This window comes from Homo sapiens, chromosome 11 (assembly GCF_000001405.40).
Source record: "Homo sapiens chromosome 11, GRCh38.p14 Primary Assembly".
NCBI lineage: Eukaryota > Metazoa > Chordata > Mammalia > Primates > Hominidae > Homo > Homo sapiens.
Window position 1 is genome coordinate 4240807 of NC_000011.10, and position 23960 is coordinate 4264766.

Sequence of the window (23960 nt, forward strand, 5' to 3'; positions counted from 1 at the left end):
CATTATCTTTGGAAAGCTAATCTCTGCTGTTATTTTAGGTTGCCATAATAAGTCTAATTCAGTAGATAACATGTAAATTAATTCAACTCTGAACAACTACTTCTGATCTATTTTTTCTCCTATTAGTGAACATGTTTTAGTGCCACTACCAAGGATTATGGAAAGTGTTTCACTTGTTTCTCCATGAAAACATCATTAGGTTTATCACCTGATGTTCTCAATGCTCAAGTCAATAAACATTTTAAATTTAATACAATTTGAATCTCTCAATATGAGAGATTGCTTATTTCACTGTAATCTGTAAGCCTTAAATAAAAACATGTGGCTTAGTGGTGTGAAATCCATCCCCCAACATAAATAAGAATATAGTTTTTTTTTAAAATTTTTTATTTGATTTTATTTGGTGACCTATTATTTGAGGAGATAATTCCAAATTTTATGATAATCTGTGGTTTGTTATCCAACTTGGGTTTTTTTTTTTCAGTGTAATTCATAAGGTTTAAATAAAAGCATGTCGCTTAGTGGCTTGAAATGCATCCTCCAAACAGAAATAAGAATATACTTTTTATTTACATTTTTTATTTCATTTAATTTGATGACCTATGATTTGAGCAGATAATTCCAAATTTTACAATCATATGTAGTTCATTATCCAACTTGGATTTTACCCATTAAAGTGAGCATTAGTAAAAAAGATATAATTTATATGTAAAAACAGTTATCTGTTCAAACATGTAATATTGTACTCTTATTAAAGAAGAACAACATTTAAGTTAACATACCACACTCCATTGGTCTCAACTTACTTAAAAAATTAAAAAGAAACCACTCAAATTGAGAAAAGGAAGTTTATTTAAAAGGTGCTTATCTATACAATGTTATTTATCTGCTGAATACCCTTAAACAAATCATTTTTCAAGCAGTCCATTATCAGCTCGGTTTGCTCATCTGGAAAATGGCGTCATGGTGGGCTAGCTTCCTTGTAGAATGATATAAGCATGAAATTAGTTATCCCATGTAATGCACCTAGCACAATGCCAACCATTTTTCAGTGCTTTTAAAAATGTTAGTCCTTCTCATTTCCCATAAAATATTTTCTTGGTAATAGTCTCTTTCCAGGTGATGTGTACAAAAGTAACACAAACAGTACTCAGTGGAAGGTCTTTGTAGATGCTTCTCACAATAAATCCGGACTAAAGTCCCATGTCTAAGTTCTTACTGAGGAAGGGGACAAAGCCAGCCCAGATGTTCAGTAGAAGCAGACGGTGTGAAGAAAGCTTTTTCCTGCCTTCTCCTCCATTTGCAAGAGCAGCTCCTCCAGATTGTCTTCCATGTCGTCTGACTGCTGCAGGCACTGGCAAATCTCACAGATGAGGAAAGCTCCCAGGGTGGCATCTTCCAGGGTATCTTGGATTTCCATGTTGATCACGTGCACAGGCTGAAAGGTCTGCTGTTCTCTGGAACACAGATCTTCCACCACTGTGTCATAGACACTCTCCTCACAGGTGAAGATGACATCAAAGAAATCAGTGCACTCCTGAAATCTTTCTGGACCGGGCTTGATTCTCTCATTTCTTCCCAAGATGTGTAAGATTCCGTTGCGGGTGTAGCATTCTCTATCTTTCCTGAGGAGGTCATTGTACATCTCCTTATATGTTGTTGCAAAATCATAAACTACAGGACGATTGGGTCTTGGTCCTGGTAGCCTCACATGAGATTCAGTTCCAAAAGACCGGACACTTAGCCCTTTTTTCCTGAGGATGCTGTGGGCCTCCATGCTCCTGTTGACATTGCTCACGCACACCACAGCCACCCTGAGTGTGGAGGAGAGCATGATGGCGGCCACTGGGAACCAGAGAGACACAGGCACCTCAGCTGCTGCAGGGTCTCGGAGCCGAGGAGACGACCACCTATACCCAGGTCTTCCAAATGAGCTAATATGGAGGCACAGGAGGCAGGTTTATATTGAGTCACCTTAATTAGTGGGTGGAGACTTCATGACTTCTGGATTGATTAGGTTGTGATAATCGTCTCCTAACTCATCACAAGAACAATCCAGATGATTAAATTACCTAAAGCAGTAACTCTCAGCAAAGGTGGCACCACCCAGTCTGGATTCACTTAAAATCTGGAGTTTGCTCTGGTGGTTCTCCTAGTGAATGGGGGCTGCTATGGACAATGGCCAAGACAATTAAGCTACCTGCAAGCATGTCATAGGACTCTCCAGTGACCTTCAGACATTAAATTGGATGATAAACATATTGACAATGTCCAAGGCTGCACCCTATTTAATTATAAATTACAAGTGATGTTGCTTGTTTTAATTTTCATAGTGTTCGAGAAATGCAATTGCATAAATCACAGGACCATTGTACATAGTTTTGTCCAGAAATTCACAAAATTTTTCACCAATCCAAAAAAAACCCATTCTCAACAACATATCTGCTTATGGTATTTTAAGAGTTATTCTACACAACATTTTCTGCCTTTGATATTACTGAAATCATAATGATTCTCCAGAGAAGGCAGCAACTGCTGCAAGCCTCTGCCTACTTTAATATGCCTTCAGGTACAGTTGTGTCTTAGTTTTCGGTACTGAAATACAATGTTTAGAATTATTTTTCTTTAAAAGTTTGTAAAATTTATTAAGAAAATGAAGAGATTTTAAAATTATGAAAGGGGTTCCAAACAATAAGGATAATCATGTCACTTTATAATCAATCACCTTATGGTTGATTAGATTATGATAATGGGCTCCTAACTAATTGAAATAATCATCAAGATGATTAAATTCCTAAAGCTGCAACTCTCCACAAAGGGGGCCCCACCCAGTCGGGATTCATTTATAGGTGAGCTCTGTTTGCTGTCACTCACTGATTCACCAAAAATTGAGTAAATAATAACCTTGCTTGTTTTTATTAATTTTTCTTAAATGTATGTATGGCTCACATTTATATCAATGTAAATCAGATCAGGGACATCACTTTTGTCCCTGGTGCAGTGACAAAATGTATCTATAAAGCAATATATTGTATTTTTGTATGTCCTTCTTAAGGTGATTCTTACATTGCAAATACAGCAGGTTCTCAAATAACATCCTTTTTTTTCTTTTTTCATTTTGACAAAGGGTCTCACTCTGTCACCCCGGTTGTAATGCAGTGGTGCCATCATGGCTCACTGCAACCTCAGACTCCTGGGCTCAATCATTCCTCTCATATTGATCTCCTGAGTAGCTTGGACTACAGGTGTGTACCACCATGCCTGAATAACTTCTGTATTTTTTGTAGAGGATGGAATTTTACCATGTTACCCAGGCTGGTCTCAAAAGCCCAGGGGCTCAAGTGATCCACCCGCTTCAGCCTCCCAAAGTGCTGGGATTACAGGCATGAGCCACTGTGCCCAGCCTCACCTAACATCATTTTATTGTAACATTAATGAGAAAAAAGTTTGACTTCTGGCGGGGCCACTGTCTGTGTGGAGTTTACGTATTCTCCCTATGTCTGTGTGGGTTGTCTCTGGATACTCTTGTTTCCTCCCACATCCGAAAGATGTGCACATTAGGTGAACTGACATCTCTATGGTCCTAGTGTGAGGGTGTGCCCTGAATCCCAGATGGGGTCCTGTCCAGCGTTGATTCCTTCCTCACACCTTGAGCTGCCGAGATAGGCTCCAGCCACCTGCCACTCCAAAGAGGAATCAGCGGATTGGAAAATGAATGAATGAATACAAATTATTGACAAATAAAAATTCATAAAATATGTGGTAATCATACAAATGCAAGACAATAATGATCAGAGTACAAAATAGATCAGCCTGCCGTGTCTGTCATTGTTGGTTTTTAACTGTGTAGTAGTAGGAAGAGCTCCTTATAATTTTTTCTTTGCAAACATTTATTCCTTGATTTAACTTACCACAACTACGGCCACTGTCACTCACTGATTCACCAAAAATTGGGTAAATAATAATCTTACTTGGTTTTATTAAGCTTTCTTAAATGTGTGTATAACTCACATTTATTTCAAGGTTTAATATTCAAAGTGTGTTGAATCTTTATTTAGAAATTTGGTGATGCTTTTGTGACTCTTGTTCATATCAATTAACCTATGATAAAATTGATTTTATTATACATCATTTCGCTTGAAGTCATTGTTTTGAAGAACCTATTGACCACAGTTAGTGAGTGCTTACTGTATTTTTTAAATCAGTAAACACCTTCAAGTTTCTCAAAGTGTGTGCTCAGCATTAGCCTCAATTGGGAGCTATTAAAAAAAAATGCAAATTTGGACCTCAAACCACTGAATCAGAAACTCGAGTGGTGAAGCCCAGAGATCTGTGTTTTTCAAAGTCTTCCTAATAATTCCAAAAGCCAAAGTTTTAGAAGAACTTCCCTAGAGATTTTTGAAACTTGACTATACATTAGAAGCATCTGAAGAATTGTTAAATGCACTGCTTCGGGCATAGAGAATGAACAGGATTTTCTTGAAAAACCAAATGAGAGGAAACATTCAACATAAATGAAAAGCTAGTCAGATCTTAAATATGTTGTGAAATTTCTTATCAGACTCAATGACTGAGACCTAAAGAAATCTAACAAATGAAAAGAAGAAAAATCTCAGAGACCAGCTATAAGTGTTACTGAAAAGGAAGATGTTTTGTGTGTTTTGAAAGAATTGAGAAACAGTGTTAAACCAAACCTTGAAGACTGATACACAAAGTGGTTGCATATAATTTCAACAGAAATAAAAGGATAATACCGGGAGGATCAGTATGAAATACTAAATGTATCATATAAGTGAATTTCTACTTGAAACACTTCTTAGAGGTAGTACTACGGGTACTGCCTATGTCCTCAGGGGAAATGACAAGGGCATTTACTATGTTCTGCCTCCAAGTGAAGGCACAAAGTGAGACAAACAAAAAAATCCAGGGAAACAGTATGTGGTTAATTGGATTAGATGTTGAGCTGATGGTAGAGTACCAACTCAGAGACATAAAAGTAGACATAATTTATTTAAACACTAATTGCTTTTCAAAGCACCAGACTTCTTGATTACATAAGTCCAAGTATAGGGGAACACACACAAGACAAAACCTGGAGAAGTGTATTAGAAAAACAACGTGATGAGACAGAGAAAAATGTTTCCGCTGCTATTGCGATATCACAAGTTATACAGGACCTGAAGAGAAATGAATAAATCTCAAGATTCTGAGGGAGAACATGGCAAAGGTATTCTGGCTTCTAGGCACCTCGAAACACAGGCATCAATAACAGTTCCAGTTCTGGAATCTGCTAAGAGTGATTTTCCAGTTCAGTGATTGTTAACTGTGGCTGGATATTTCAAGACCTTTCTACCAAACTTTTATAAGATGCCAATGTCTGGGACCTACCCCAGATCAAATGAATCAAAATCTCTGGGCATGGATTATGTTCATCCTGATTTTATTTCTTATTCCTGTGATCCCTTCACCCACCCACATTTCAAAATTTATTTAATGCTAGAATTTAGTCTATACACATTTGGTGTAATGACTTTTTTACTGTACATTCCTCACATCTTCTTTATTTTATATTGTTATTTCTGCCCTTGGTTTTTGTCAAGTTGTTATATACTCCATTTTGTACCTAACTTGAAATTCTACTTGGATTACCCACCCCATTAAATGGTTACCTGCGCTTTCTCTGCCTTCCTGATTAGAACACGTTTCTCTAGTACTTATTTGAAAACAAGAGTTTTGCAATGCTCTTAATTCTTTTTCACTTTTGACTGATCCCCTATTCCTAACTTCCAGGTTTTGCCAGGATATTTTGTTAATTTTAGTTCAATAGCCTTAGTCAAATGTATCTCACAGATAGTTCCTTCAATTTCTGAGTCCTTATTTACAACTGAGAATGAACTTTACCTGAAGTCTAAACTTCTTTTTCTGTTATGCACATAAGAAATTATTGAAATATTTAGTCCCAGCCTCAGTACATGCCTCCATTTCCTTTCTTTTCTTCACATTCCCACCAATTGTTGTTCAGGTTCACATCAGTGACAATGTTTGGAAAGTCTTCTCTCAAATAGGTTTCTCTGTTGGGGGACACAGGAGATAAACTGTCTGAATTACTGTGTATCTTTCCTTCAACCTAACAGAGGGGCCACATCTCAGCTGGGTACAGGATTGTTGGGCTGTAGTCCTTTCTCTCAGTAGTCCTTAACTGCTATGCCACTGTCCGTTCCAGCGTTGGAGATATAAAGTCTAATTCCAGCATCCTTCTCCTTCTGTAGATAATATGTTCTTTTTAACTGTATGTTTGTCAGATTTTTCTCTTTCTCTTTAGAGTTCAACATTTGTACTGACAGATGCCTCAGTGTTTCTTTTTTCTCATCACTCTAGTCCAGTATTTCCCCATTGTTTTAATCAACCCCCACTTAAGGAGCCTTCTTAGACATTTTTCCCTAATCACTTCCCCATAAAATTTTAATAGCATAGATATAGTGTGTATTTGTTTATGTACGGCATCTGTGCTCTGTACATAAAGGGAGTGAGATTTCTGTTCACTCCCCCGAGAACCAGTTTCTGCCCCATTATGGACATTGTCACTCCTGTTGAGAAAGCATGGTTTAACCTGAAACAGTGAGCCTTTATTACATTCAAGAAATAATCTACTATTCTTTAATTATTGTCTTACTTCCACGAATACCTTTTACTCCTTGTGAAATTCTAGTAATTTACATTTTGTTATTCTTGATTTATCTGCCACGTCCCTTCTTTTTCCTCGTGGTTTCTTATATTTCTGCTTTTTGTTTTGAAGTATTAGTCAAATCAAATTTGGATCTCAATTCACTCACTAAATTGTTGATAAGAGAAATCGTGTTTTGGTCTCAGAAAGTGTTGGCCCCTCACATTTTTTTTAATAGAATTTACTTTTTGTCCAAGTTGTCATCTTTCTCCCCTCCCCTCTGCATGTCACTGGTAAGTGTTCAGTTTCTTCTGACTGATCATTGCTGACTGCTGGGCCTGCTAACACAGAATCTTTATCACTGACGCTTAAGTTGCTCCTGGACTCCAAATGGGAGTGTTACAGGTAGTTAGACAGAGATGAACCAGGCAGGAGAGGGCTCTACCCCCAACCCACCAGGAAGGTCAGGTGACCAGCAAGTGATGGTTGGGCAGTTACCACACTGCCTCTCTAAAAATGAGAACTTGGCAGCAGTGAAGAAAGACAATCTCCTGATGGTCCATAGCTGCCACACTAAAGTGTTCATTGAACTCAGGCACCAGGGAGAGGCAACTTCCCAAACAGATGAAAACACTTGAGATTGGGTATCAGCTTCCAATAAAATCTCAGGATTTGGGCAAGTGAATCCAGGCATGTGCCTTAAGAGAAAATGGCAGAGTATGACCTTCCGGAGGCATTCCACCAGAAAAGGGAAGAAAGCCTCAGATGGACATGAGTACAATTTCCTAAACACACTGCGCATGCTCACTTCCCAAGCATAAGGAGGGTGTTAGCAGGTGGGCAGCCTACCCTAAGGGAAGAATCATGGGAAAGGGGTGCAATATGCCAAAAATGGGCCACAATATAAAGTCCCAGGATCAAGGTTAAGCAGGGCACTTGTCCTTCAAGTCACCCACTGGAGTCTCTTCCAAGTGTACTTTACTTTCTGCTCTAAAGCTGTTTAATAAGCTTCCACTCCTGCTCTGAGACTTGCCTCGGTCTTTTTTTGCCTTATGCCTCTTAGTCGAATTCTTGCTGCTCTGAAGAGGTAAGAACTGAGGTTGCTGCAGACCCGTACGGATTCACCTTAGGCAACTCAGATACCTTCTTCCCCTAACAGGAGCAGTCCCAGAGATGCTAGAAGACACAGGGGTCTCTGTTGGCCCAAGTCTGGTAGTAAAGAACAAAGCAAGCAGCAGATCTCTTCAGATGCACCTAAAGAAAGCCTTTGAGTTTCCTGGTCCCCTTCAACCCACTTCAGGGTTTCCCTTTGGCTTCTTGGGTCCATGAAGAATCTCAGGATACCAAAATCAGCCTCTCTCCTCTTCCCTCCTCGGATCGCAAGCCCAGGGCCTAACTGACAACACTCATAAAGCACCCCCTACCAGTTCTCCCTTCAGGCCCTCAAGCAACCAATTTCTCTTGGGTGAGTACCTAAGACTGAAATGTCTGGGCTATAGGATAAATATATGTTGAACTTCCTAAGAATTGCCAAATATTTTTTTCCAAAGTGGTTGAATCAGTTTACATTCCCAGCATCAGCGTCCCCATTGTTCCACAACTTCACCAACATTCATTCTTTCTCACCTTTTCTATTTTAGCCATTTAGTGTTTCTGAGTGGAATTTTGGGATTTTAGTTTGCATTTCCCTGATGACTAAAGATGCTGAGCATCATCTCATGTGTTTATGGTCCATTTGTACACCTTGTTTTGTGAAGTCTTATTTATAATAATTATTAATAAAATTTATTTTCTATTTTCAAGATTGTTCTTATTTTTCATTTTATGTATTTGTGCTATTCTTCTCAACTCTTTAAAAAAATAGATTTGCTCCTGTTTCTGTTTTGTTTGGTGGTGTTGTTTTGTTGTTGATGTGTTTCAAACAACCTGGTATATTACTGTTTGGCAGGGTTGTCTCCTAATAGGCTGCAAACCCCTTGAGGGCAAATGGTAGACTTCTTTATCTGCCCTTCCAGATCAGCCAGAAAAGTTCCTAGAACATAGTAAATGCTTGGTAAATTTCCTTGTGTCAGTATTGACAGACAATGACTCCCTATTACAGCTCATTGCTGACTCTAGCCCAGCAAGGGGATTGTACTAACTAGGCCCATGCCATTATCTAGGCTCCTGTAGTGTCAGGGGCATGATTACGTCATAAAAATTACAACTTTGACGTTATCTTTCATAGTTCTATCATCCTCATTATACTAGACTCAATGACCAGAACTGTGCATATTCATCTTGGCTCACTGCTCATACAGTACCTGGATACTTTAGGAATTCAGTACTTAATTGTGTTTTGTTTGTTTTTTAGAGACAAGGTCTTGCTCTGTCACCTATGCTGGAGTACAGTGGCACAATCAAAGCTCACTGCAGCCTTGAACTCCTGGAATCCAGTGATCTTCAGCCTCCTAAGTAGCTAGAACTATATGAGTGCACCACCGTGCCAAGCTCATTTTTTTTTCTAGAGATGGGGTCTCACTGTGTTGGCCAGGCAGGTCTCGAGCTCCTAACCTCAGGCAATCCTCCCACTTGGGCCTCCCAAAGCATGGCTTGCCAGTTCCTAATTTTTGAACCAAGTCTGCAGCACTGTAGGTAGAGAGGGGAAACCAGAAGCCATAGTTTATTATCTGAGAAATGTATACTATAAGAAATTTTGGAAAAATACAACAGATGTATCATTTTCCTGAGTTAGCATGGATTGGAAAGGGTAAGCCTATAAGCAGAGACCAGTTAGAAGTCTGGTGTGATCATCCAGGTGACAGAGGATAAATCCTAAACCAGTCCCTTGGGGCTTTGGGACACTTGTGGATAAGCAGAAGCTACATCCAACATCTGAGCACAATGGAGGAGCTTGTACTAACCTTCCAATCAATAGTAAGCATAGAAGCTAGGTAAAATACTTAAAGCAACCAAAGTTGTTAAAGAAAAAAACAATCCAAGTGGGACTTGAAGGGAAGATTGCTGGAAAGAATGTACACTAGTGCAGCTATGCAAGCCCCACATTTGCCTCTGCTTTTGTCCTCAGAGCATTTGCTTAGTCCTGGCATGTGCAACAAAGACCAAGTTGAAAGGTAGTGGGAGCTTGTAGCATTCTCAGTGTCAGGCCTCTGAGCCCAAGCTAAGCCATCATATCCCCTGTGACCTGCATGAATACATCCAGAGGGCCTGAAGCAACTGAAGAATCACAAAAGAAGTGATATTTAAATGGCCTGTTCCTGCCTTAACTGATGACATTCCACCACAAAAGAAAAGAAAATGGCCTGTCCTTGCCTTAACTGATGACATTACTTTGTGAAATTCCTTCTCCTGGCTCATCCTGGCTCAAAAACTCCCCCACTGAGCAACTTGTGACCCCCCACTCCTGCCCACCAGAGAAGAACCCCCTTTTTCCTTTACCTACCCAAATCTTATAAAACGGCCAGACCCCTATCTCCCTTTGCTGACACTCTTTTCGGACTCAGCCTGCCTGCACCCAGGTGAAATAACCAGCCTTGTTGCTCACGCAAAGCCTGTTTGGTGGTCTCTTCACATGGACGCGAGTGAAACTCAGCAGGCTAGGAATAAAGAAGTTGCAGTTCAGGGATACCATGGAGTCTGAGATCTGAGATAGAAGAGGCAGCCTTAGAGAAAATTGGGCCAAAATTCAGCGTGCTGATTCCCCTTGAGGAGTTTGCCAATTCCTTAGCTGTGCATGTTCAGGGCAAGATTCTCAGCACCTGAATGGAAAGCAGCAGCTGTGAAGCTAAACAGTTATGCAAAGACTAGCAGTCTGATGGTGCTGGGGAGTCAGAGGCTGGAGGTCAGGGCCTGAGGAGGTAGAGCAACCCTTGTAAATAAACACTGAAACACTAGGAAGCTTTGAAACACTAGAAGGGCTGTACTCTAGGAGTAAGGACAACCCAGAAAAAGATCAACGCTAGCACTAGCAAAAGTTAAGCGTCCTCTCAGATGGATCAAGATCTGCCAGTACCCTTATCTGCCTGAATTCTTTCTAGAGAAACGTAACAGTTTCAGAGAACAGAGTCTCTAGTTTTTTCATATAAAATCACTATCCATTCACACTCACACACCAAGCATGCCAAGAAACTACCAAATAAGTAAAAAAAAAAAAAGTGGAAAAAAATAGCGACAGAACCACAGGTGATCTAAACATTGGAACTATGAGGGATTTTAAAATAAAATGATTCTCCAGGTCCTGTTAGAAAATATTGGTTGCATCTTCTGAAAAAGAGATGCCCGCATCTAAGAACTCCAGGAGCTCAAGTAGCTGCCTGTTACCTATTACCACCACAGGCTCAGCAAGAAGATACACAGAGATGTTCCTCCTGAGCAGAATTATTTTTTTTTCTTACATTAAGTTCTAGGGCACATGCGCACAACGTGCAGGTTTGTTACATATGTATACCTGTGCCGTGTTTGTTTACTGCACCCATTAACTCATCATTTACACTGGGTATTTCTCCTAATGCTATCCCTCCCCCATCCCCCCACCCCACGACAGGCCCCAGTGTGTGATGTTCCCCACCCTGTGTCTAAGTGTTCTCATTTTTCAATTCCCACCTATGAGTAAGAACATGTGGTGTTTGGTTTTCTGTCCTTGCAATAGTTGTGAGCAAAGTTTTTAATACTAGCTGAATGTTGGTGCAAACTCTAGGTAATGTCATGAACTGAGCTACCAACTGTGAGCTGGGAGGACTCATTTGTATCTCAGACCTGAAGTCTCTATTAAACAGGCCTCTGTGGCCCCTTTTCCTATGGCCTTCATCCAAATATTTATCCTCTAGAGCTTACCATTCTAAAAAGAAAGAAATGATTACCCCATACAAAAGTGGACAAAGGAAAAAAAAAACAGCATTTATTCTCAGTATATTTTTGCTTAGCCTCTTTCAATAAGCCCTACCCCTATAACTACAAGCCGATTGCTGTGCATCCTTGGACAGCTCATATTTGAATTGTTTTTCCTCTGCAAATGGAGTGATGAGAGGGGTTCCTTGGACTTGAACTAGAAGTTAGAGTCTTCAACATACTGATTTCATATATTTGGATATATACACAGTAGTGAGATTGCTGGATCATAGATAGTTCTATTTTTAATTTTTTTATGACTGTCCATACTGTTTTCCATAATAGTTATACTATCTAACATTCCCACCAACAATGTGCAAGGGTTCCCCTTCTCCCCATTCTCTCCAACACTTTTTATTTTTTGTCTTTTCGTTAATAGTCATTCTAACATGTATGAGGTGATATCTCATTGTGGTTTTAATTTGCATTTCCCTGATGATTAATTTTGTTGACCTTTTTCTTTTCTTCATTTACCTATGGGCCATTTGTATGTCTTATTTGAGAATTGCCTATTTAGGTACTTTGCCCATTTTTTAAGAAGTTTATTCCCTACTATTGGGTTGTTGGAATTATTTATCTATTTTGGCTATTAACCCCTTATCAGATAAAGGTTTGCAAATATTTTCTCCCATTCCATAGATTGCCTTTTTCTTCTGTTATTTCCTGCCTATGCAGAAGTTTTTCTAGTTTTAAATAATTCTGCCAATTTTCATTATTGTTGCCTATGATTTTGGATTCTTATTCAAAAAATTGTTGTCCAGACCAATGTCATGAAGCTTTTCCCCCGTTTTCTACTAGCTGTTTTAGAGTTTCTAGTCTTACAGTTAAGCGTTTAATCCATTTTGACGTAATTTTTGTATGTAGAGTGAGATAAGGATCTAATTTTATTCTTTTGTTTGTGGATATTGAGTTATCCCAATACCATTTATTAAAGAGACTGATTGTCCCCCTTGTCTGTTCTTGCCACCTTTGGCAAAAGTCAATTGACAGTAAATGTGTGGAATTATACCTAGGTTCTTTAGTCTGCTCCATTGGTCTTTGTGTCCTTTTGTTAATGTTAGTACCTTGCTGTTTTAATTACTATAGCTTTATAATATATTTTGTAGTATATTTTGAAGTCAGGTATTATTATACGTCCAGTTTTGGTTTTTGTATTTTATTTTTCATGTTTTACTTGAGAGTGCTTTGGCTATTCAAGGTCTTATATGGTTCCATAATAATTTTAAGGTTGTGTTTTCTACCTCTGTGGAGAATGTCATTGGTATTTTGATAGGGACTACACTGAATCTGTAGATTGCTTTGGGTAGTGTGGATGTTTTAACAATATTAATTCTTCCAATCCATGAACAGAGGCTATCTTCCCATTTATTTGTGTCTTCTTCAGTTTCCTTCATCAGTGTTTTCTAGTTTTCAGTGTACAGGTTTTTCACTTCCTTGGCTAAATATATTCCTAAGTAACTTATTCTTATTAATGCTATCATAAATGAAATTGTGTTCTTGATTTCTTTTTTAGATAGTTTCTTGTTAGTGTATAGAAAAGCTACTAATTTTATGTGTTAATTTTATATCTTGCTAATTTACTGAATTTTTATCAGTGCTAACAGTTTTTTGGTGGAGTCTATAAAGTTTTCTTCATATACAATCATGTCATCTGCAAACCAGGGACAATTTAACTGCTTCCTTTTCGATCTAGAAACCTTTTATTTCTTTCTCCTGCTGAATTGCCCTGGCTAGGACTTCCAGTACTATGCTGACTAGAAGTGGTCAGAGTGCGCATTTTTATTATGTTCCTGACCTTTGAGGAAAAGCTTTAAACTTTTCCTCACTGAGTATGATGTTAGCTGAGGGTATGTCTTATATGGCCTTTATTGTGTTGAGGTGCATTCCTTCTATATGTAATTTGTTGAGAACATTTTTCATGGAAAAAAATGTTGAATTTTGTTAAATACTTTCTCCATCTATTGAGATGACCATATGATTTCTGTTCGTCATTCTGTTAATATGGTATATCACGTGTATGTGGAACCATCTTTACCCTATGGATAAATCTCACTTGATCTTGATGAATGATCATTTTTATATGCTGTTGAATTCAGTTTACTAGTATTGTTGAGGATTTTTGCATCTATGTTTATATTTGTTGAGGATGTTTGCGTGTAATTTTTTTGAGACAGTATCTCACTCTGCTGCCCAGGCTGGAATGCAGTGGTGTGATCATGGCTCACTTCAGCCTCAACTCCTGGGCTCCAGCAATCCTCTTACCTCAGCCTCCCAAGTAGCTGGGATTACAGGCATGCACCACCTTGTCTAGCTATCTTTTTCTATTTTTTGTAGAAACATGGTCTCGCTATGTTGCCTAGGTTGGTCTCAAACTTCGGGGCTCAAGTGGTCCTCCTGCCTCAGCCTCTCAATGTATCAGGATTATAGGTGTGAGCCACTGCTCTCAGAGTTATTTTCTTTTATTGTATGGTCCTTGTCTGTCTTTCGCATCAGATAGTCCTAGCCTCATGAAATGAGTTTGGAATTTTGCCCTCTTCAGTTTTTTGAAAGTGTTTGAGAAGGACTGGTTTTCTTTCTTCTTTAAGTGTTTTGTAGAATTCATGAGTGAAACCATCAAGTCCTGGGCTTTTCTTTTCTTTTAAACAGCTTTAAAGATATAATTTACATATCATACAATTCATCCATTTAAAGTGTATCATCCAGCCTAAATGCCCATCAACCAACAAGTGGAAAAAGAAAATGTAGTATATACACCATGGAATACTACTCAGCTATAAAAAGAAATGAAATAATGGCATTTGCAGCAACCTGGATGGAGTTGGAGACCATTGTTCTAAGTGAAGTAACTCAAGAGTGGAAAATCAAATATTGTATGTTCTCACTTACAAGTGGGAGCTAAGCTAGGAGGATGCAAAGGTATGAAAATTATATAATGGACTTTGGGGATGTGGGAGGAAGGGTGGGAGGAGGTGAGGGATAAAAGACTACACATTGGGTATAGTATACGCAGCTCTGGTAACCAGTGCCCCAAAATCTCAGAAATCACCACTGCAGAACTTATCTATGTAACCAAAAACCATCTGTTCCCCAAAAACTATTGAAATGTAATACAAAATAGAAATAACAAAAATCAATAAAGTCTATAATCCGATGGTCTTAGTATGTTCACAGAGTTACACAACCATCACCACAATCAATTTTAGAACATTTTCATCACATAAAAAACTTCATAACCATTAGCAGTCATTCTTCCTCTTCCTCCCCACTCCCACCTATTCTCTTCCCCTCTTCCCCTAGCCCCAGGCAATTACTTATCTACTTTCTAACTCTATATAATTGCCTATTCTGGACACATGTTTAATATATTATATACATTTCTCCTATATAACTGTAATTACATATCCTTTGACCACCATCTCCCTATCCCTACCTCTCCCTTAACCATCCACACCTCTGGTAACCAACATTCTACTCCCTACTTCTGTGAGATCAAGTTTTTTCTCACTCACATATGAGTGAGATCATCCAACATTTGTCATTTTATGCCTTATCTATTTAACTTAATGTTCTCCAGGTTCAAACATGTTGCAACTAACAGGATTGTGTTCTTTTTGTTGGCTGAATAGTATTCCATTGTGTATACATACCACATTTTCTTTATCCATTTTTGTCTGTCGATGGGACACTTAGGGTGATTCCATATCTTGGCCTTTGTGAATAGTGCTGCAATAAACCTGGAAGCACAGATATCTCTTTGATATACTGATTTTATTTCCTTTGGATATATACTCAGTAGTGGTGTTACTGAATCATATGATAATTCTATTTTTAATATTTTAAGGACCCTACAGAGTGTTTTCCATAATGTCTGTACTAATTAACATTCCCACCAACAGTGTGTAAGAGTTCATTTTTCTCCACATCCTTACTATTTGTTCTTTTGTCTTTTTGATAATAGCCCTTAAGATAGGTGCAAAGTGATATCTCATTGTGGTTTTGATTTATATTTCCCTGATCATCAGTGATGTTTAACATTTTTTAATACACCTATTGACCTATTGGCCATTTGTATGTCTTCTTTTGAGAAATGTTTACTCAGGTGTTTTGCCCTTTTTAAAATAGTGTTGTTTGTTTTCTTGTCATTAAGTTGTTTGGATTCCCTATAAATTTTAGATATTAATGCCATATCAGTTGTATAGACTGCAAAGATTTTCTCCCACTTTACAGGTTGTGTTTGCACTTTGTGGATTGTTTTCTCTGCTGTGCAGAATCTTTTTCTTTGAATGTAATCTCATTTGTCTATTTTGCTTTTTGTCATCTTTGATTTTGAGGTCATATCCAAAAAAAAATCCTTACCCACACCAATCTCTGAAGCCTTTCCCCTATATTTTCTTCTAGTAGTTTCATGGTTTCTGGTCTTATGTTTAGGTCTTTAATCTTCTTTGACCTTTTTTATACATAAGGTGAGATAAGGGTCTAATTTCATTGTGCATGTGACTATCTACTTCTTCCTATCCTACTTACTGAAGAGACTCCTTTTCCCAATATGTGTTCTTGGTGACTTACTTGATCGAAAATCTATTGTCTCTAAGTGCTTGGAATTATTTCTAGGCTCTCTATTTCTGTTTCATTGGTCAATGTATCTGTTTTTATGCTAGTGCCATGATGTTTTGGTTACTATAGCTTTATTGCATATTTGGCAGCCCCGTAATATGATGCCTTCAACTTTGTTCTTTGTGGTGAAAATTACTTTGGTTATTTGGGGGTTTGTGTGGTTTTATAGGTCTTTTAGGATTGTTTTTCCTATTTCTGTAAAAAAGTGTCATTAGTATTTTGATAGTGATTGCATTGAATCTGTATATAGTTTTGAGTAGTATGAATGTTTTAGCAATATTTATTTTTCCAATTTATTCATATGTAATATTCATTTCTTTGTGTCTTCTTCAATTTCTTTAATCAGTTTTTTTGTCATCATAGAGATATTTCACCTTCTTGGTTAAATTTATGTCTGGGTATTTTATTTTATTTTTGCAGCTATTGTAAATGGGATAGTTTTCTTGATTTCTTTTTCAGATAGTTTGCTATTAACATATAAAAAGACTACTAATATTTTTTGTTGATTTTTTATCCTTCAACTTTACTGAATTTGCATATTAGTTCTAATAGTTATTGGTGGAGCCTTTAGAGTTTTCTACGTATAAGATAATGTTATTCGCAAACAGGGAAAAATTAACTCCTTCCTTTCCAGTGTGGATGCCTTCTATTTCTTTCTCTTGCCTAATTGCTCTGGCTAGGACTTCCATACTATGTTGAATACAAGTAGTGAAATTAGGCATCCTTGTCTTGTTGCCGATTTCAGTGAAAAAGCTTTCAACTTTTCCCCACTGAGTATAATGTTAGCTGAGGGTTTGTCATATATGACCTTTATTGTGTTGAGATGCATTCCTTCTACACCTACTTTGTTCAGAGTTTTTATCATGAAGAGTGTTGAATTTTGTCAAACACTTTTTCAGCATCTATTAAAATGATTATATTTTTCCTTCATTCTGTTAATTTAATGTATCACATTTATTGATATTCATATTTTGAACCATCCTTGCATTCCTAGGATGTATCTCACTTGATCATGGTGAACAATCTTTTCCACAGACTGTTGAAATCAGTTTGATAGCATTTTATTGAGGATGACTGTATCTATGTTCCTCAGGGATATTGGTCTGTAGTTTTTCTTCTTTTTTTTGGGGACCTTGTCTGGTTTTGGTGCCTGGGTACAGCCGACCTTGTAGAATTAGTTGGGAATAATTCCCTCCTCTTTAGTTTTTTGGAATATTTTGTGAAGAATTGGTAGTAAATCTTCTGTAAATATTTGACAAAATTAAGCTGTGCGGTACTGAGCTTTTTTTGATGGCTTCCTTTTATTATTGATTCAATCTCCTTGCACATTATTGGTCTGTTCAGGTTTCCATTTATTCATAATGCAATTTTGGTAGGTCCTATGTTTCCAGGAATTTATCTATTTCTTCTCGATTTTCCAATTATTTGGTGTATAATTGTTCATAATAGACTTCAGATCCTCTATGATTTCTGCGATATCAGTTGTAACGTCTCCTTTTTCATCTCTCATTTTATTTATTTGAGTTTTCTCTTTTTTTCTTAGTCTAATTACCGGTTTGTCAATTTTGTTTATCTTTTCAACAAATCAACTCTTCTTTTCATGTCTCTCTTCTATTGTTTGTCTTTAAACAATGTAAAGTAGTCTAGTTTTATAGGTAAAAAAAGGAGTACTAATTTTGCGTTTGCTCTTGCTTTTCTATTTTCTTGAGGTAAAATGGTAGGTTGTATATTGGTGCTGTTTCTTCTTTTGTTTTTATTTTTAATTTTTGTGGATAAATAATCGGTGTATATATTTATGGGGTGCATTATATGTTTTGATACAGGCATGTAATGCATAATAATCACATCATGGAGAATGAGGTATACATCTCAAGCGTTTATCTTTTTTTGTTACCAACAATTCACTTTTACTCTTTTAGTTGTTTCAAATGTACAATCAAATTATTGTCAACTGTAATCATCCTTTTGTGCTATCAAAGAGTAGGTCTTATTCATTCTACTTTTTGTATCCATTAACCAACCCCACCTTCTCCCCAACCCCCAATACACTTCCCAGCCTCTGGTAACCATCCTTCTACTCTCTATGTCCATGAGCTCAGTTGTTTTGATTTTTAGATCCAGCATAAATGAGAACATGCAATGTTTGTCTTTCTTTGCAAGCTTTATTTCAGTTAACATAGTGATCTCCAGTTATATTCATGTTGTCACAAACAACAGGATCTCATTCTTTGCATGGCTGAATATTACTACTGAATATTAGAATAATAGTAATCCATTGTGTACATTACCAGATTTTCTTTATTCATTCATCTGTTGATGGACACTTAGGTTGCTTCCAAATCTTGGCTATTGTGAATAGTGCTGCAATAAACATAGGAGTGCAGATATCTCTTCCATATGCTGGTTTCCTTTCTTTTGGGTGTATACCCAGCAGTAGGATTGCTGGATCCCATGGTAGCTCTCTTTTCAGTATTTTGAGGAACCTCCAAACTGTTCTCCACAGTGGTTATACTAGTTTGCATTCCCACCAACAGTGTACAAGAGATTGCTTCTCTTCACATCCTCACCAGCATTTGTTATTGCCTGTCTCTTGGATAAAAGCCATTTTAACTGGGGTGAGGTGGTATCTCATTGTAGTTTTAATTTGCATTTCTCAGATGAGCAACGCTATTGCTTTCATAGGAGGCACCTTTTCATAAGCCCATTTGCCATTTGTATGTCTTCTTTTGAGAAATGTCTATTCAAATCTTTTGCCTAATTTTTAATCGGATTTTTAGACTTTTTTCCTATAGCATTGTCTGAACTCCTTGTATACTCTGGCTATGAACCCCTTTTCAGATAGGTACTTTGTAAATATTTGCTACCATTCTGTGGGTTGTCTCTTCACTTAGTTGAATGTTTCTTTTGCTGTGCAGAAGTTTTTTAACTTGATGTGATCCTATTTGTCCATTTTGGCTGTGGTTGCCTGTGCTTATGGGGTATTGCTCAAGAAATTTTTGCCCAGACCATTGCCTGGGAGAGTTTCCCCAATGTTTTCTTGTAGTACTTTCTTAGCTTGAAGTATTAGACTTAACGCTTTAGTCCATTTTGATTTGATTTTTGTATATGGTGAGAGATTCAGTGATACAGCCTAGTTTCTTTTTTCTTTCTTTTTTTTTGCATGTGGATATCTAGTTTCCCTAGCACCATCTGTTAAAGAGACTGCCTTTTCCCCAGTGTATGTTCCTGGCACCTTTGTCAAAAATGAGTTTACTGTAGGTGTGTGGATTTGTTTCTGTGTTCTTCATTCTGTTCCATTGGTCTATGTGTCTGTTTTCATGACAATACCATGCTGTTTGGGTTACTATAGCTCTGTAGTATGATTTGAAGTCAGGTAATGTGGCTCTCCCAGTTTCGTTCATTTTGCTTAGGATGGCTTTGGCTATTCTGGGTCTTTTGTGGTTCCGTATACATTTTAGGATTTTTTTTATTTGTGTGAAGAATGCCATTGATATTTTGATAGTGATTGCATTGAATCTGTAGGTTGCTTCGGGTAGTATGGACATTTTAACAATATTGGCTCTTCCAATCCATGAACGTGGAATATCTTTCCATTTTTTTGGGTATCCTCTTCAATTTCTTTCATCAGTTATTTGTTTCCTTCCCCTGCCACTTTCAGAATCTTTATTTTTGAACTTTGACAGTGTGATTATAATTCATATTGGGGTAATCTTGCTTGGATTTAATATGACATAGATTATGTATATTAAATACATTTTTACTTTAAATATCTTCAACTTATGATTACTTTATTGGGACGTAACCTCATCAGACATCAAGGAACGATCATATGATAAAGCAAGTAGAGTTAAAATTTAATGAAAGAATCTTGGTGGTTGACTATATAATTGGTCATCATAATTTTTTTTAATTTTCTGTATATTTGAAACTTTGTATAATAAAATAAGAAAAAATTTATTTACTTGAATAAATCATGGTGACTCTTTAAGAATAGCCAATACAGAATAATGGAAATAAAATGATTATAAAGGTTACCAATTCTTGATGTTCTTAGATATCCATTGTTGATAAATTTTAATGTATACTGTTATATGTTTTTCATGTGTATGAGCATTTGTGTGTGTGAATGTTTGTTGTTTCCCTAGTATCTATTGCATCTACTATCATTACTAACATAATAGTTACTAAATCAAGAAAATAATTTTTCATTTTAAGAAGCAAAAGTATGAAATTTTCATTGTAGACTATTTGGAAAATATTTAAATGTACAAAGAATTTCCTTTTTTACTCTTGTGTTTATGGTACATTCTGTTTATCTCTTACTTGAACTTTTAAATGCATTTGGAAATCAAACATTTTTATTTCAATAATTTATACCCTATTATTTTACCCATATTTCTAACAAGTATTTATCATACTTGAAACATATTTTAACTAGCTGCAAATTACAACAATTTAGTTACCAGTGTAACTTTTTCATATTTAACATCTACTGTATTTCACATTTTACAGATTGTCCAAAAAGTAATCTTTTTTACAAGAATTTCCTTATTTTATCTGTTCCTTAATTCTAGTTATATAGGAGGACCTACATTTTATGTAGTCAAGTCACCAAACATTTTCTCTGGGTGTTTCCCTTCTCTTTTTAACTTCAGGAATTGTTCTGATTCTAATATAAGTCTATTACTTACTCTGTCTTTATTCCATTTATTTTAGATTTTAAATTGATATATGTAATATTTCAACAATATGTTATTTAAAAATATAATGTAATAATATTATAATTACCAACAATTACACTCATAAAAATAATTGTTAATATTGAAAACATTTCATTATTTAATCATATTTTCATGTATTTCTATGTTGTATAATGATTAGTATATTTTTACTTAATGTTACATGACAAGAATTTCCTTTGGTACAAAATGAACTTCACATATTTATTTAACTTTATTTAATACTGCCTAACAGATTTTCACATAAACAATATATTACAAAATATATCATTTTAGCCAACCTATAGATTCTTATTGAATATTTATTTGAGATGATTTGCCAGTATCAATAAACTTGTCATAAACATGATTATTCATAAATTTTTGTATGTGCTCTATGTTACTTTTTTATATGGGATAGATTCTTAAAGTTTTCTTATTTACATTTGACATGCTCTTGGCCAGGTAGAATATATACAAATTGTAAATACATGTTATGAAAACTAGGATCATTTTTGCTTGTCAACTATACTAAAAATAATTAAATAAAAAATTGTCAAATTAAAGATGCCAGTGCGAGTTATAATTTAAATCATAAATTTTTGTATAATGAAAATTATAATTTCTTAATGCAGAATTTTCTTAATGAGGTGTTATTTCTGCAAAAATGATACCCTTCTTCCAAGAGCTAGAAGTACATGATTAAAGTACCCAAGGCAATGTTTAGCTTTCAAAAAAAAATTCAGCATGAGTAGAATCCTGAATGGAGTAGGTTAGATATCAATGACACTCTCCCAGCCCAATCAATCTATGACTTTAGACAGAAGCTTGTCATCCAACAAATTCAGGGTTGTCTTGGTTTTTGTTTTTGTTTTTTAACTAATTGCAAAGAGGGAGACCAGAGGAACAATGGGGTGTCTCAACAAACAAATGAAAAGATTTAGTTATTATAGGATTTAGGGTACAGATTAGTTTTAGGCAAAATAATCAACATTTTAATAAGGTTAAAATAAAGCAGGGGTATCTCTAAAGAGATTAACATAAATACTGAAATCTTATTTTAGAACCCAGCTGCCTGATCTGAGAATGGGTGGCTAAACTCCCCCATTCATCAAAGGTTGGCCTGTGATGTCGTTCTTTTATGAATTTTGGCTTGAAAATCTTTCATTCCCTATTTAGGTATATGTACTCAAAATTGGCTAGCCAGAGAACTTTTCACTGAGAACAGGATATATGGACTGAAACTTACCTAATAAGCAGTAAGCCATAGAAAAATAGGCAGTGAGAGTATTTGGGGCACAGGAAAAAGAAATTTCAAAAAGCCGACTTCTAAAATTAGATGAAGGAGTTCAAAGAATAGAAATGGTTGTAGCAGAGTATTTGTGGAGGTGAAGCAGAAGATAAAGTAGATGAGGTGAATAGAAATCTAATCATGTAGGGTCAAGTATGCAAATGTTAAGATTTGAAGATAGGATTTATGGATTTTTTTCTGATTGAATCTTGGAAAATTGTTGGGGAGGTATAGGAGCAAGTTGATACTATAAAAGCTGAGAAGATAATTCAAGGACAGAACAGTAAAGTATCTTCAAATGCTCCTGAGAGGTTAAAACAAGAGGAGGAGAGAAAAATGATCATTGACAATATAAAACCACAAATTGCACTCTTATTTCCCATGTATAAAAAAGCTCTATGACATAAAATACATCACATACCACTATACTCTCTTCAGGAGAAGCAACGAAATTGTTGATTGAAATTGTAGGCTGTTAAAAATCATAGAAATGACTAAATTCACTCTAACAGGATTGATAGAAATAAAAACGTCTGGAAATTTCTGATATTCTTTAAAATCATGTTTTAAACATGAAGTCCTTGCCCATGCCTATGTCCTGAATGGTATTGCCTAGGTTTTCTTCTAGGGTTTTTATGATTTTAGGTCAGAATAACCAATGCAGAGAAGTCTGTAAAGGACCTGATGGAGCTGAAAACCAAGGCACGAGAACTACATGACAAATGCACAAGCCTCAGTAGCTGATTCGATCAACTGGAAGAAAGTGTATCAGTGATGGAAGATCCAATGAAAGAAATGAAGTGAGAAGAGAAGTTTAGAGAAAAAGGAATAAAAAGAAATCAACAAAGCATCCAAGAAATATGGGACTATGTGAAAAGAGCAAATGTATGTCTATTTGGTGTATCCGAACGTGACGGGGAGAATGGAACCAAGTTGGAAAACATTCGACAGGATATTATCCAGAAGAACTTCCCCAATCTAGCAAGGCAGCCCAACATTCAAATTCAGGAAATACAGAGAATGGCACAAAGATACTCCTCGAGAAGAGTAACTCCAAGACACATAATTGTCAGATTCACCAAAGTTGAAATGAAGGAAAAAATGTTAAGGGCAGCTAGAGAGAAAGGTCGGGTTACCAACGAAGGGAAGCCCATCAGACTAACAGCTGATCTCTCAGCAGAAACTCTACAAGCCAGAAGAGAGTGGGGGCCAATATTCAACATTCTTAAAGAAAAGAATTTTCAAACCAGAATTTCATATCCAGCCAAACTAAGCTTCATAAGTGAAGGAGAAATAAAATACTTTACAGACAAGCAAACGCTGAGAGATTTTGTCACCACCAGGCCTGCCCTAAAAGAGCTCCTGAAGGAAGCACTAAACATGGAAAGGAAAAACCGGTACCAGCCACTGCAAAAACATGCCAAATTGTAAAGACCATTGAGATTAGGAAGAAACTGCATCAACTAATGAGCAAAATAACCAGCTAACATCATAACGACAGGATCAAATTCACACATAACAATATTAACCCTAAAAATAAATGGGCTAAATGCTCCAATTAAAAGACACAGACTGGCAAATTGGATAAAGAGTCAAGAGCCATCCGTGTGCTGTATTCAGGAAACCCATCTCACATGCAGAGACACATATAGGCTCAAAATAAAGGGATGGAGGAAGATCTACCAAGCAAATGGAAAACAAAAAAATGCAGGTGTTGCAATCTTAGTCTCTGATAAAACAGACTTTAAACCAACAAAGATCAAAAGAGACAAAGAAGACCATTACA

The 23960-nt window shown here is 36.5% G+C and overlaps 1 protein-coding gene across 1 annotated transcript; it reads right to left on the minus strand.

Annotated features, from left to right (window-relative positions):
* Positions 1-834: 834 nt before the first annotated feature.
* Positions 835-1900, minus strand: SSU72L2 (SSU72 like 2). Its single transcript, NM_001413999.1, has one exon. The coding sequence runs from the start codon at positions 1832-1834 to the stop codon at positions 1250-1252; it is 585 nt and encodes a 194-aa protein (NP_001400928.1). The 5' UTR covers positions 1835-1900; the 3' UTR covers positions 835-1249.
* Between the last annotated feature and the right edge of the window lie 22060 nt (positions 1901-23960).